The 16183-nt window shown below is 45.5% G+C and overlaps 1 long non-coding RNA gene across 2 annotated transcripts in view, besides 1 other annotated feature; it reads right to left on the bottom strand.

Moving 5' to 3' along the window:
* LINC01426 (long intergenic non-protein coding RNA 1426) overlaps window positions 1–16183 on the bottom strand; it is a 39062-nt gene that overhangs the window by 21932 nt on the left and 947 nt on the right. The window contains exon 2 of one of the 2 annotated variants that reach the window (NR_038886.1): window positions 14588–15174. The exons of the other annotated variant lie outside the window; for it this stretch is intronic. This is a non-coding gene — a long non-coding RNA (long intergenic non-protein coding RNA 1426). Of the gene's footprint in view, window positions 1–14587; window positions 15175–16183 lie in introns of those variants that run through there. 2 annotated transcript variants of the gene reach the window in all.
* Window positions 15749–16043: an enhancer, noted in NCBI's record as "tiled region #10169; HepG2 Activating DNase matched - State 5:Enh". NCBI's record gives its function as "activates a minimal TATA promoter and a strong SV40 promoter by Sharpr-MPRA in HepG2 cells {active_cell/tissue: HepG2}" and the evidence as "EXISTENCE:reporter gene assay evidence [ECO:0000049][PMID:27701403]".

The raw sequence follows: 16183 nt of genomic DNA, 5'->3' as shown, positions 1-16183 counted from the left end.
AAACTATCCAAGAAAAATCCAGTGTATATGAATGCATTTACCCTAAATTCATTAAGATTGTTTCTACCACTAGGTGGAAGGAGGACTCTGAATGGAAACTGAGTTGACACTGCTGGTGGGGCTGTGGCTGGTGGGGCTGTGGCTGGTAGGCTGACTCTCACCAGGGCCAATGCAGGCCTAAATTATCACAGCCTTGCAGAGGGAAATTTGAAAACATCTATAAAACTTACAAAAGCATTTGCCCTCTACCTTAGTGATTGCTTTTCTGGAAATTTTTCCTATCAGCCTTCCTATCGGCTGTGGTTATTCACTGCAGTTTTGTTTATAATAAGGAAAGATTGAAAACAACCAATTGTCCCCCAATAGGAGGCAGGTTAAATCAATAATGGAATATTCTACAGCTATAAAACAGTAAAGAAGCTCTCTACGTAAAAGTATGGAAAGGAAACAAAGAAATCAAGGTGCAAAATGGTGTATGCAATAGGCTTTATGCAAAAAGGGAAAATTAAGAACATATATTCACTTTGGTTATATTTTTCAAAGATTCATAAAATCTAAGAAAATATAAATAAGACGTAAAAAGTTGTAGCTTTTTTGTATTGGTTTTGCTTTTATGTAATATGATTGTATAATCTATTAAAAATAAGGGAAGAAAACCAAATCTATATTTCTACATAGCTGAGTTTGAGACTTGTGAAAAATTACTACCTTCTCTACCTGTACCTTCCATATCAAGGGGTTCAAGGAGCACTTGCTGATTGGCTGATTCCAAGCCTACTGAGTCATTAATATTACATCCTTCAATCCCGTAAGAATGTGGTGAGATCCAGGCTATGCTTGACCTGACCTGACAAGCTGCATGATTTAAGGGAAACAGCACTCGAGTCAAAGTAGACTACTGGAGCCAAGATCTGGTTAATTTGCATATGACTTTAGGCAGGTCACAGACCCTCTTGTAGCTTCAATTCTTACATCATAAAGTAAAGAAATCAGCTGAGGTTAGCAAATATTTATTGGGAGATCACTGCCATCTTGGAGCCTCAACACTGCAGTAAGACTCAGTGCCTGTCCTCAAGGCCTAGAGGACTGATGGAGGAGGGAAGCAAGATGGAGACAAGGTCTGCAGAAGGAGTCAGGAACCAAGTCAGAGGGCTCTCCATGGAGCTCTGGATCCCAGAAGAGGGCCACACCCATCCCATCCCACGGCTCATGGAAACCTCTCTATAGGAGAAGGATTTGAAGAGAAGGTATCTCAGCAAACAGAATAGGAGGAAAGAAGGTGTGACCTGGGACCCATAAGGGAAGCTCAGGCAGCAAGGATTACTGAAGTATCGAGCCTGGGATGGGAAGGAGTGGCGGGTGCAGCTGTGACTGTGCCCTTCCAAAGATCCAGCCAGCTCTGACTCTCCAGGTGTCTGTGTTCCACAGGATGGTGCAGCGAGAGCACAGGCCAGGTCAGGGACAATCGAAACAAAACGGGTTCCACTGAGGACCAGGACCAAGGAAAAGTTCCCTTTGCATCCACTGGGGACCTATGGCTGGGTAGGCAGGAGCCTTTCCTCTTCAGCCCGAGCTCTGCCAAGCCTTGCAGGAGCTGCATGCATGAGTGCAGAGGAGTTAAGGAGATGGTCCCTGGCACTTGAAACCCCATTCCCACCTCCAGCATCTTCACTGCATGATGTCCCTGGTGCCCAGGGCTCGTTCTCCCCTTAGGGACATGGGCCCACCTGAGATCTCTTCTGCTGTCCCCGCCTCCTAGGGTTAGCACTGCCTCTAGTGTTGGCATGCCCCACTGATCAGTGGCCTTACAGGGACCCAGTGGCCTTGCAGGGACTATGGTGCATGGCATTACCCTCATCTCATTTGATTCCCACCACAATCCTTCGAGGTAGTATCACTGCATGCATTTTACAGATGAGACAGTGAAGCTTAAAGCAGCTAATTGCCCCATGGTCCCAGAGTTAGTTAGTAGTAGAGCTAGGATTCGAATCTGGGTCTCTCCTCCCCAAGCCAGGGAGCTGAAGCAAGGTCTTTCTCTGCCTGGAAGAAAGGGCCTGTCCATTTGCTTGACAAACAGGTTGGCTATTCCAAGCTTTGTCCCAACCATCTTGGCCAGGCCACTGAGCTCCTCCCATATCCCAGCCCACCCCATTCATCCCCTAAATCCAAGGCCAGCTCCTCACCCTCCCCTGAGCATGGCTGGATCAGATGAGCAAAAGCAACAGCGCTCACAAGATTGCCCCACTTGGCTCCAGCAATTAATTAAGAGCCGTCTGAGAGCCTCCAAGGGGCCTGCAAGCTCCAGCAAGATGCGGCACACATGGCTCAATCCAAAATATTCACTGTGTTTTTCCCTAGCTGGGGAACCAGTCCTTACCTGTTACCTGAACCTGATTAAATGCCCAAGCCGCTCACTCTTGGTGCCAGCCAGGAGCCAGCCTGCTGGTCCTATGGAAGGTGGGGTGGTGGCTGGAAACTTGACAATGATAGTCATCCGTCAATAAATACGGCGTTGTTTATGGGCTATAACATGAAGCCTCCAGGGCCTGTGCCAGGCACTGCTTATTCTGGTCAACAGGCTGCTGGTACACAGGAGACCTATGGGCTCAGCTGGGGCATGGGAGGAGCCCGAGACTCAACCCAGAGGGGACCATGGGGAGGGCTGCTCTAGGCCATGTTGGGGGCCTCATCACCACCATTCTGGTTCCCAGGTGGTCCATCCTCCACCTGGCACCGGACAACCTGGGTCAGGTATATTTTGTTGTTATTCCTCTGCATAAGACCTTCCATTGCCTTCGCATATACAGTTGGGCCCTTGAATGTTGGAATCTGATTTAGACATAACACTTCCTTGGAAAGCTCATACACCAAGAAGAAAGACACCTGCTATGACGGTGGTGGACCATGGCCCCTCATAGTCTTAGACTTGTCTTAGGGATCAAGTGACTCTGTCCCACCCTGCAGCATAGTCTATGTTCTGCCAGCATTAAAATTAAAGTCCTACTGGCTCTCACTCCAAAATACATCCGAACCCATCCATTTTCTCCACCAACACCTAGACCAGGGAGAGCTCAGTAGCCCTTTTTGGTGAAGAGCCAGATAGTGCATACTTCAGGTGTTGTAGGGCAAGAGGCAAAATCAAACCTACTATGCAGTTACTTATTATTATTTTTTTTTTTTGAGACAGATCCTCACTCTGTCACCTAGGCTGGAGTGCAACGGTGCAATCTCAGCTCACTGCAATCTTCCCTGCCCGGGTTCAAGTGATTCTCCTGCCTCAGCCTCCCGAGTAGCTGAGATTACAGGTGCCTACCATCACACCCAGCTAATTTTTGTATTTTTAGTAGAGACAGGGTTTCACCATGTTGGCCAGGCTGGTCTTGAACTCCTGATATTAGGTGATCCACCTGCCTCGGCCTCCCAGAGTGCTGGGATTACACGCATGAGCCACGATGCCCTGCAGCAGTTACTTCCATAAAAAGAGTGAAAGCACATTTCCATACTTTTTTATTAATGAAAATTAAAATATGACAATATTATTAAAAATCAAGGATATTAAAAAAATACAGTTCAACTAATGAGAAAAAAATGAATTCTTTTTTTAGAGGGGATAAAATCTCACTTCATTGGGGCTCAGAGGTAGTATTCTCTCATCAAATCAATCGAGAGTGTTCACCATTCCTACTTAATGGGCCAGACAAAACCCAGCAGCCGGCCAGATTGGGCCCACAGCCTACCGTAAGAAGATCCTTGCCCTCGACAGAGGATATTGAAGCAGGGTATTGCCAGGACATTGAGACAGCCCCCTCGCCCCCCACCCCAGATCTCCCTGCCTCCATTTTGGTTTCCCACTTGAGGATGGACCAGACAACCTGGGTCAGGTATATTTGGTTATTATTCCTCTGCTTAAGACCTTCCATTGCCTTCCCAAAGACAGGCTCTTGAATGTTGGAATCTGATTTAGACATAACAACTCCGTGGAAAGCTCATACACCAAGGAGAAAGACACCTGCTACGATGATGCCCATCTGCCTCCAGGAAGCCCGGAGCAGGCCCCAGAGGTCTGGGCACTTGGATGCTGCCTACAGGTGATGCATCAGGGCTCCAGAGGCCACCTTGGCAGGACTCACGGCCCTCTGCAGGCAGCAGTTGCTCTGCCTGATCCCTTAAGGGGTTACGTGGGACAATGATAGAGGAATCTAGTCTGACTAGCTAACTAGCTGCCAAACAAGAATTTTAGAGCTCAGTTCTGAGTAGGTTAGTGTGGACAATGGGCAGCATGGTTTATGATAACCTGCTCTGAGCCAGGATTGGGAGGGCTGGGCTCCATTTCCAGCTTCTCCTCTAACCGGCTGCTGACCCTAGCCATGCCACTAGCTCTCTGAGCCTGTTTCTTCAGGAGTAAAAAGTGAGGAGGGTGGTCCCCTAAACTGCTGGTAATCAGAATCACATGTGGAACTTTAAAGACCCAGATTCCTGAGCCCCATCCACAATCTAGTGAATCAGGAGGTAGGGATACATAGATATACACACATACGCATATACATATAATATACATAATTATATATGCATGCATATATACATATATACTCATGCATAATATATGCACAATGTAATAATGTATATCTATAATGTATACATTATTGTCATGTATAATATACATGTGTATTGTATATATTATACACTCATGTATATGTGCAATATGCTCATGTATAATATATGTGTATTGTATATATTATATATCCATGTTGTATATCTTTACATACATACACGTATATACACATATAGATGTGTACATGCATACCAGCATATATACACACCTAGACATACACACACAGACCTGTGAGTGTGTATATCTTCTTGGTAATTTTGATAATTAGACACATTTTTAAAAACACCGTCCCTGGCCGGGCGCGCTGGCTCACGCCTGTAATCCCAGCACTTTGGGAGGCCAAGGCAGGCGGATCACGAGGTCAGGAGATTGAGACCATCCTGGCTAACATGGTGAAACCCCATCTCTACTAAAATACAAAAAATTAGCTGGGCGTGGTGGCGGGCACCTGTAGTCCCAGCTACTTGGGAGGCTGAGGCAGGAGAATGACGTGAACCCGGGAGGCGGAGCTTGCAGTGAGCCGAGATTGCGCCAGTGCACTCCAGCCTGGGTGACAGAGTGAGACTCCGTCTCACAAAAAAAAAAAAATTGTCCCTGGGGCTTTCTAGCTTTAAGGGTTTATGTGATAAAGAAAGGTGCTGTATTTCGTACAGTCTGATGATAAGCATATTCATGAACAATTGCTCGGCCCAGAAGTTGAAACCAAGTGAGGGAGTCGCATGTATCTTGGGGTGAAGAAAGCTGCTAATAAACGATTTGATTTAGGTTATATGAAAGACTCTAAATACATTACAAAGCACTTCACAGTTCACGGAGTCCTTTTATTAACTTTATGCTCTTCACAAACTGGAGTTTTACAGAAGAGATTCACAGAGGCTGTGACTTTTCCAACCTCATGTAGCTAATTAATTGTCTGGGATTGGACCCTAAGCTTCTAAACTTTGGACTCAGTATTCTCTCCATCAGGGAAAGAATTACTGTGAACATTTTTTTCCGAGAAGAATTGGTTGGACAGGCATATGTTACTGCAAATGCCAAATTAATAGAATCCAAATTAATGACTTTATAGTTATATCACAGGTGGGTACATAAGAAATTATCGTTTTTTCTAATTATTACTTGTAATTGACAAAAATAATATATATTTATGGAGTCTAGTGCAATGTTTTGATATATGTATACAATGAGGAATGATTAAATCAAGAGAATTAACATATCTACCACCTCACTTACTCATCATTTTTTTGTGGTGAGGCATTTGAAATTCTCAGTAATTTTGGAAAAATTATTAAATTCCTTTATAAATTTAAAAACTCTCTGTCCCTACAAATTTTTACTGAGAAAATTTTCCACTTGGCTCAGGGGTATAAGGTTTCTGTTTATTTATACAAGCAAAATAGAATTTTTTTAGCTGGACTTTTTTTTGACAATTACACTAAAAAAAAGAACAGCCTGTGGACTGAATTATTTTGCTGTTGTCACCTCTGGGCAGAGACGACAGTGTAGGGTAACGCTAACACAAGTTACATTCACACATTTGTTCATTCATTCATTCAGCAAACACCTGTGTGCTCACAGCATCATTCTCTGGAAAATTACTTTCATCATTTTATCTCCCAATAACCACACAGAACAGAGAAGCCAGGAGACAGTATGACCCCTGAACACGGGAGGACAGGAAGGCAGTGGAGGCATCATGCTATTGAGTCACTTGGTAGGTGCCAATCCAGCTTTGAACCTCGTTGGGACTTCTCCCTTCGTGGGTGCTGCCTGTTGACAGAATTATCATCCTTGGTTCCATCAACACCAAATCCTTGTGCAGTGTTGGGAACTGCCCACAGCTTATGGGAAGCAGCAGGATGAAGGCTGAAGACAATCATGGATCCACAAGTGGTTTTTTAGAGACAGGGTCTCATTCTGTCACCCAGTCTGGAATGCAGGGGCACGATCATGGCTCACTGTAGCCTTGAACTCCTGGGCTCAAGCAATCTTTCAGCCTCAGCCTCCTGAGTAGCTGGGACTATAGGCACTACCACACCTGGCTAATTTTTATTTTTTGTAAAGACAGGGGGTCTTGCTATGTTTTCAAGGCTGCTCTTGAATCCCTGCGCTCAAGCGATCCTCATCTTATCTCTGCCTCCCAAAGTGCTGGGATTATAGGTGTGAGCCATGTACCCAGCCTACAAGTGTTGACATGAGTAGGGCTCTTGTTAGAAATGCTCCCCAAACGTGTCTTTATTTTATCACAAACATTTTAACAGTCTTAACTAATACTTGGTACACCATATAAGACCCAAATCAGTATTTCTTTTTCATTAGGCTTCAAATCAACCCACACGATTTGTTTTCCCCATCTCTGCTTCCCACCATGCAACCTATAAAAGGCAGGGCCCCCGGATGTCCCAGTAGGGTCCTAGGATCTGCTCTCTATGTACCACTAAAGAATCAGACCTTGACTTTGGCTGCACACAATACCCTGAAGAGCTTCACAAGATACAAATGCCTGGTGGCGCCCCCAAAGATTCTGATTTACATGGTCTGGGCTGTGGTCTGGCCACCAGGATTTCTGGGACCTTTGTGTGGTACTAACACACAGCCAGAGTCAGAAACGTCATTTCTATCCTGTCTCAGAGTCAAAGACTTGTAGTTCTGGAGGCTCCAGCTCTAAGGAAAAAGATCAAGGCTCTTTTGGATTTGGGAAAGCAATAAATATAGCTAAGTGACTAAAATTACCTTACATTCGCAGCCCTGCAGACCACCAACAACTTACTACAGCTCTCAGAGGGAGATGCTCAGCTCAGGCCTATAAACGGGGACCCCAGCCCAGTGCTCCCTGCAGCTGTGGGCTCTGTTCACTGGGTGCGGCTTCCTGCCCCCCAGATATGCCTTCCCAGCCTCTCTCCTCGGTCCCTTTTTGTCCAGGCTGGGAATCCAGAAACTGAGTTCTCACTCGCACACCTTCACCTGGTCTGGCTTCCCTGCCCTTTTCTACTGGGAAATAGCTTCTGGTCAGAGTAGTAGAAATGTGGGTTTTTCCCCCTTTATTTTCCTTTTTCCCTCCTGTTTTCTCCTCTTTTTATTTTTCCTATACTCATCTTTCCCCCTTTTTGTTCTCCTTTTTTCTCCTCCTTTTCGTGTCTTTCTTCATTTCTTCTCTCTTCATTTCTCTTCCTTTATCCTTATCTAGTTCCCGTTTTCTCTTCCCCTTTCCTATCCTTCTTCCTTTTTTCTCTTGTCTATTTCCCTTTCCTCATCACCTTCCTTCTTCTCCTTTTCCTGGTAAGTATTCCTAAGGGTTTCCAAGCAACAGGCAGGGACCCATTGACTCCAGGACAAACCACGATGAAGACAGAGCCGAGGACGCTAGGCAGCCAGAGATGGGGAGGACAAGACGTCACCAGCCTGGTTAGGGAGGTATCGCCGGCATAAGGCGCCGCGCTAAGCCCTGCAGCAAGTGGGAAACCATTGAGTTGTGGAGATAAGACACACCCATGTGGAGAGGTGGCGAGACAGGCAGCACAGGAGGCGTTCAACCAGAGGACAGACAGCACCCCAAAAGTTGTTTGTAGGCCAGTGGCTTAGTACTTATACACAATGTAATACCTTGCCCCATAAAAATGCCTCCAAGAGGGGCAGGTTGCTTGGCTAGCTCGTAAAAGCCAACATCATCAAATGTGTTTAAAGCATGGCTCTCAAAGCACCTTTTCAGGTCCACCTACCTATGTAGTGCTGGTTACCTCAGCAGGAAAATTGATTTCTCGTTCCAACTTGCTACGAAAACATTCCCATTATCCCGAGGGTGGGGGCCGCAGGGCGGGAAGGGTTGGTTGTTCTGGGCATCAGGAACTTGCTGAAGCTTTAAGCGTGTGTGGATGAAGGCCCTCTCCAGGCCACGCATACCCCTGAAGATCTGAACCTGGAAACAAACCTAGGTGTGTGGGTTGTTCATGAATTAAGCATTTTGAAAGCAGAGTCCAGCCTCCTAATCAGATACTTGATATGTGAGGCAGAAAAAAAGAAAGGGGAATCTCGGTCAAGGACTCTTCAGGAAGGAGGCAGGGATTGAACTGACCCAGAAGGACAAGCAGGGTGAGGTCAGAAAGGACTCAAAAAAGGTATAGCCAGAAAAGGGCCCTGGGCTTTAGGCACCACTGAGAGTTGGGCAGCGCCACCTCCAAAAGAAGCTGGAGAGATGGTGGGGGCAGCAGTAGGAGGTGGGGCACATTGGTGGGAACTTTGAGAACCAGGCTTCAGATTTCCAGCTTTGCCTGTGTCAAAGTGTGGGTACAACCCATTCAGGGGTTTTGAGATGAAGGTAGTGGGGCACCTGCAGCATGAATTCCAATCAAGTGGAATCGAATCGAATGGCGCGGAGTGGAACAGGAAACAGCAGAAGGAATGTCACATAGGAGTAGTGAACAAGAATTCTTCCATGAATCTTGCTTGTTTGTGTGTGTGTACACATATACATATATATCTACATGTATGTATGTAAGCATGTATATTTGCACATACTTGTGTATGTGGTGGGTCATACTGATTCTTTACTGTAGCAGGTTTTTCAGAGGTTTTGAGGAGTGACGTCTTGACATGGATGTTTTAAGACGAATCTAGAAGTGATTTGGAAGATTGGTTTCAGGGGAGAGGGTTGGGCAGGAAGTGGCCCAAGGAGGAGGCAATTAGAAGAGTGGTGGGACCGTGGTGGGGGCCTTAAATTTGGGTGGTGACAGCAGGAACAGGATGAGTGGCCACCAGCCTCCTTGCAAAGAAGGTAAGCCCCACAGTGTCTGTAGAATCAGAGACAAGGATTCAACCATTGCCGGGGAGTTCGGCAGCCCACCTCTCAGCTCCAGGTGTCAGCCCCTGCAATTCCCAGGTGCCAGGAGAGAGAGAGAGAGAGAGAGAGAGAGAGAGAGAGAGAGAGAGAGAGAGAGAGAGAGAGAGTGTGTGTGTGTGTGTGTGTGTTGCCAAAAATTTTATTTTTCCTAACCTCCCTCTGTTCTGTGTCTCCTCCCAATTTCTTCTTGGATTTTTGAACTTTTAATTTAAAGACTGCGCAATTTTAAATACTGCATTCTAAAGAGAACTGTTTTAATTTCATACTACCGTACACCAATAAGCATAACACCTGTGGTTCATATCATACTTGTTGACCTACAGAAGACATTTGTATTCAGAGTTTGGAATAACTGCAAAGAATAAAAACCCAAATTTGGATCTGATGAAGGAGACCATGTGGGAGACTTATTCTAGCCTCTTCATTCATTCATGACAGGCAAAAAGAAAACACAGATTATTTTTTCCAGGTGTGTGGTAACTTATTCCCAACCATCTAGAGATCTTCATTCAGAGCATGTACATTCAGAAACATATTCCTTGTTCCAGTCATTTCATCTTGCTAAATGATATCAACAAATTAGACAAGCGTTTGCTCAAATTGCTGCTGTCTCTTCATAAGGCTCACCTGGCAGGAGTAACTGATTGCAGTTTATAAAGAAGCTGACACACCAACACCAACGCACAGAGGAGAATCCAGTGCCGGATGTGGTAGGAGATGTCGCAGGGAAAACGAAAAGGAAAACAAGGCGGCGGGAGGATGGGGGTGGCAAGGGAGTGCTTCCTGCTTCTCAGTCCCCGAAAGCGTGAAACACGAAGGTGTCCTTTGTGCCTTGAGGAAGGGTCAGGTGGGCCAGCTTGCACCTAGTTTGCACCTTGGCAAGTGGGTACCCTGCTTCTGGATGTAAATCCAGAGATGAGGGGTGCAGTGGATGAATCATGTCCTCCAGAGTTATGTACAAGTCCTGCCCTCCATGCCTGTGCATGTGGCCTTATTTAGACCTACGGTCTTTGCATTCATAATTAAGTTAAGGATCTAGGTGTGAGATCATCCTGGACTAAGGGTGGATCTTAAATCCAGGGACTGGTGTTCTTGTATGAGAAAGAAGAGGGATATTTGAGACACAGTGAGAAGTCAATGTGAAGATGGAGGCAAAGACTGGAGGGATGGGTCACTAAGCCAAGCAACACTGGGGGCTGCCAACCACCACTAGAGGCCGGGAAACAAACATGGACTGTATTCTCCCTCAGAGCCGCCAAAGGGACCAATGCTGTTGAGGCCTTGGTTTTGGACTTCTGGCCTCCAGAACTGTGAGACAATACATTTCTGTTGTTTTAAGCCTCCCAGTTAATGGTGATTTGTTATGGCAGTGTTGGGAAACTCATCCAATGGGAATATTCACTTATTGCAAGTGAAGTGTGAGACACTGATGAGAATAAAAGGGGGAAATAGGCTCACACAATCACAACCCCTTCTCCCAATAAAAGGAAAAAAGATGCAATGCCTTAGAAAACCCTGAGAACTTGCTATTGTAGCCACGGCTGCAGGACCACCACATGGGCCTGGGCTGCTGGCCTCGCACTCCCTCTCAGGGAAACACAGCCTGGTGAAAAGTCAGGAGCCAGTCTGGCTGGGTTTGAACCCTGGCTCCATCCCTAGCTGTGGGGCCTTGGACAAGATATTTTATCTTTCTCCCTCCTAAGGTTGTTTTGACAATTAAATGACCTACTTATATGTGTTACATATTGGTCCATTTTCACGCTGCTGATAAAGACATACCCGAGACTGGGCAATTTACAAAAGAAAGAAGTCACAATCATGGTGGAAGGTGAAAGGCATGTCTCACATGGCGGCAGACAGGAGAAGAGAAAGAGAGCCCAGTGGAAGGGGTTTCCCCTTACAAAGCCATCAGATCTCATGAGACGTATTCACTACCATGAGAACAGTATGGGTGAAATTGCCCCCATGATTCAATTATCTCCCACTGGCTCCATCCCACAACACAAGGGAATTATGAGAGCTACAATTCAAGATGAGATGTGGATGGGGATACAGCCAAACCATATCATGCTGTGTGTAAAGTATTGATAATAAACAGAGCAGTGTTAGCTATTACTATTAGTTCAGAGATCATATTTCAAAAGTGGGAGTACAGGTGACTGAAGCATGGGAGGAGGATAATACTAAAAGAATTAACTAGACCCTTGTCTCCAGTAACAATTTAGCTCTGACTTATAGGGCTGAGCTACAGAAACCTCCCAGACCTGAGCCATGGGCAGGAGACAGCACACAGCGCAGTCTGGTGAAGGCTGAGGGGACCAGCAGGGAGGTGATGAGGGAAGGCTGGAGACACAGCCCAGCCATGAGCCCAGCTGAGGACTGGTGGGTGACCACCCAGGGGTCTCTGCTGCATGTTTCCCGGTGGCATCAGAAATCTCAGTCACACTGTGTTCTCTTCCAATAAAATCACAAAGAGCACACAAAATGTCTCCTTTAAACAGAAGTCAGCTGCGTAACAGAATGAAATCATCACTCCAGAAATAATTGTAAAAGAAGACTCCACAATTCACGCCAGCAGCCTTGACAATAAGTGGCCCAGTCAAAAATTCACAAGATGATTGACCATAATGGCTGAAAGTTTGAGGTCTGGTGTCCAACTTTGTGGGTGAGAATCCCATCCCAGCAACTACTAACAGTGTGACGTTAGCCAGGTTCTTTACCCCCTCCGTGTCTTAGTTTCTTCCGTAAAGTATAAGGATCAATGAGATTTTATATAAAACCCTTAGTGTAATACTTCACCTGTAGGAAGGCTTCAGTACTTGTGAGCATTCAGCATTGTTTTCTCTAGACAAAAGCACATATATATTGGCATCACACATAACCAAGTGTCGTAATAATAGACAAATAACTCCTAAAATCAATGAGAAATACAATCACCCCAATACAAAAGAAGGATAGAAAGCTTCTGAAACAAGCAAGTCAAAAAAGAAGAAACCCAAATAGTCAATGCACATGGAACAAAAATGATCAACCTGACCTGCAATCATAAAAATACAAAATAAGAACACACACACACAAAACCAAACAGAATATGTGAAATTTAAAGGACTACCAATACAACGTGTTGGCAAGGATATAGAGCAACTGGAACTCACATGCACTTCTGGTGGGAGTGTAAACTGATACAACCACTTAGACAAAAGATTTGGAAGTATCTACGAAAACTAAATATACAATCTGACTCAACCCCTCCTCTCCTAGGCACATATTCCTTGGATGTGGGTGTTCATGTCTACCAAATGACATTACAAGAATGTGCATAATAGCCCCACACTGAGACAACCAAAATATCTTTCCACAGAGGAATGGTTTATCCATGCAGTGAGGTATACCCAGCGATGAGAATGAGAAAAATACCAATACACACCAACACAGGTGAATCTCACAGACATCACACAGGGCAAAAGAAGCCAGACACAAAACAGCAGATATTGTACATTTCCACTTATATGAGGGTCAGAAAAAGGCAAGACTGTTCCAAGGTGAAAAAGCCTAGAATAGAGATTACTTTTGATCGGGGGACATTAGCTGGGAGAGGGCACAGAGAGCCTTCTGGAGTGGTGGGAATGTTTTGTACCTTGATCTGGGTAGTGGTTACATGGGCATCTCTATACACAAAAATTCATTGAGTTGTGCAATTAACATGAGTGCATTTTCTGTAAGTTGTATCTTCACAAAAGGTAAAATTAAAAAAAAATTAAATAGTAATGAGATGTCGGCCAGGCACAGTGGCTCACGCCTGTAATCCTAGCACTCTGGGAGGCCGAGGGGGGGCGGATCACCTTAGATCAGGAGTTCGAGATGAGCCAGGCCAACATTGCGAAACCCCGTCTGTACTAAAAATACAAAAATTAGCCAGGCATGGTGGCGCATGCCTGTAATCCCAGTTACTTGGGAGGCTGTGGCAGGAGAATCACTCGAACCCAGGAAGGAGAGGTTGCAGTGAGCCAAGATCGCACCACTGCACTCCAGCCTGGGTGACAGAGCGAGACTTCGTCTCAAAAAAAAAAAGTAATGAGATGTCATTTTTCTCATATAAACTATAAAAATATTTTGTAATTAAGTGATACTGAGTGTTCCCTTGGGTGGAGAAGACACATGGTACAATGTTTCAGAAGAGCATTGGATTCTGCTTATCTAAAAATGTTTTCATGGGCATCCTTTAACCCAGCATTTTCACTTGTAGAATTTTATCCTGGGGAAAGAATCCAACAGATGTATAAAGATACTTTTTCCAGAATGATTATCACTTCAGTGCTAATAACAGCAAAAAATTTGAAGCACCTAAATAAGCGACAATGGAGGGCTGATTAAACAAATTTTGCAACATGTATGAGTCAAAGTTTATTAAGCACCCATTTAAAAAGATGGAAGTGAATATTTAACAGAATGGAGAACACGGCACGTGAAGAGAAAGGTCACAAAACAATGTGCTCTTCATAATTTTTACTTCAAAGTAGGTATGGGTGTATATGTGTGTGTGTAGAGATTTATATAGCTGATGAACATCAGTCAAAGGGGACCATTTTTCTGTCTGAATGGTGGATGATGGGTGATGTTAATTTTGTTCTTGGTACTTCTCACTATTTTTTTAATTTTCTATTAATAGAAAACCTGGTAGCCCTTAAAGAAAATACACTGTTCTCATAGGCAATAGAGGTTTAAATGAAGAAAATCCCAGAAAGCAGTGTTCTTTCCTGCTGAGTTTAGCGTTCAACATAAACAAAAAACTGATAGCCCCCTGGCAGGATTATGTAGGGTTGGACAGAACGATGGGTGAAAACGTCTGGCGTGAGATAGACAAGTTGGCCAAGGTGGTTGTTCTCTGAGATCTCCCTAATGACACCACACACACACACACACACACACACACACACACACACACACAGTGCCTCTTGCTACACCACACTGATCTAATCCAATCCAGTCTCTTGGGAGTTTGAGATTAGACAGACACCAAGAGTTGAGACTGGGGCATGGGAAGGCAGGTCCCCGAGAGAGGGACACCTGGCCACAGAAGGGCCAACTCAGTGCCCCAAGGTCACCTCTGAGCCCATGAAATGCGTCTCCTTCCAGTACTTCCCACTTTTAGTTACACCGAGATTAAACTGATAAACCAGAATCCATTTCTGTGGTTTGTAACCAAAAGAGCCTCACCGGTGCCCAACCGCTTTGAAGAAGTTAGACTCCTTTCCCAGCTTTGTCCATTTCTTCCCCGGCACATCTGTTCTCTCAGCAAGCGAGGCTGGAAGACACACCATTGGCAGAGCACTGTGCTCAGCGCCTTTTAGACTTTCACGTGGAGTAATATCACGTCGAGGTCTTGCCGTTGAGGTTGTCGTAATGCAGCTACAGGAGTTGTGTGGGCTCTTTAAAAATGACATGAAGCAGGGCACAGTGGCTTACGCCTATAACCCAGCACATAGGGAGGCCAAGGCAGGCAGATCACTTGAGGTCAGGAGTTCGAGACCAACTGGCCAACATGGTGAAACAGCGTCTCCACTAAAAATACGAAAAGTATCTGGGTGCGGTGGTGGGTGCCTGTAACGTCAACTACTCAAGGGGCTGTGGCAGGAGAATCACTTGAACCCAGGAGGCGGAGGTTGCAGTGAGCCGAGATCATGCCACTGCACTCCAGCCTGGGTGACAGAGTGAGACTCTCTCTCTGAAAAAAAAAAAAAAAAATGACATGAAACTGACTCATCAGAGCTCCATCAGGCCACGGGCTACAAATGTGGCTGGGCCACGTAGACAGAAAGACACACGGCCCTGGTGTAGGAGAGGAAAACACACTGTTTTCAGGGAGGTGGAATTAGGGGTTTCCCTGTCCCTTCTCTCTCAAAGCCTTTTCCAATGAATCTAGAATTTTTAGTTTCTTAATAATGTTCCTGTTGCTCTTCCATCTGGATGCAAAGGAGATCTATTCACGACATCTCCAAGAATGAACTCCATAAGAGCAGCAGAGTGGTCAAGGCCTACTTTCCCAGGGGTTCATTTTCTTTTTGCCTTTTTTTTTTTTTTTGAGACAGAGTTTCACTCTTGTTGCCCAGGCTGGAGTGCAGTGGCACAATCTTAGCTCACTGCAACCTCTGCCTCCTGGGTTCAAGGAATTATCCTGCCTCAGCCTCCCAAGTAGCTGGGATTACAGGTATCCACCACCATGCCCGGCAATTTTTTTTTTTTTTAAGTAGAGACAGAGTTTCACCATGTTGGCCAGGCTGGCCTTGAACTCCTGACCTCAGGTGATCCACTCGCCTCGGCCTCCCAAAGTGCTGGGATCACAGGCGTGAGCCACCGTGCCCGACCAAGGTTCATTTTCAATGCTGTTGACACGAAGGCTAAGATCACAGGGGAGGTCACAATTTTAGGATCTCAGCTTTTAGAATGCTGTCTTTTTAACCCCTTCAGCATTTCCATCTTATTGGAAAAGGGCAGGCAGGAGGGCAGATGGGAGGGAGGGAGGCAGTTGGGCTTTCTTCCTGTCCAGGGGCCAGCTCTGCCTTCCTGGTCCTCACTCCCAGCCCCACTCCTTCCTTCCCCTGTTCTGTGCCTCTCCTATCTACTCCTTCCACATCCCTAGCCACCTCACAGGCTCTTCATGGGGCTCAAGTGAGATAATGCAGGGTGTGAAATTCTTTGTCAATGAACGCATCAACTCTACGTTCCATTTGCTG

Source organism: Homo sapiens, chromosome 21 (assembly GCF_000001405.40).
Source record: "Homo sapiens chromosome 21, GRCh38.p14 Primary Assembly".
Taxonomy (NCBI): domain Eukaryota; kingdom Metazoa; phylum Chordata; class Mammalia; order Primates; family Hominidae; genus Homo; species Homo sapiens.
Note: the sequence above shows the minus strand (reverse complement) of the source record. Positions and strands in the feature narration are given on the sequence as shown.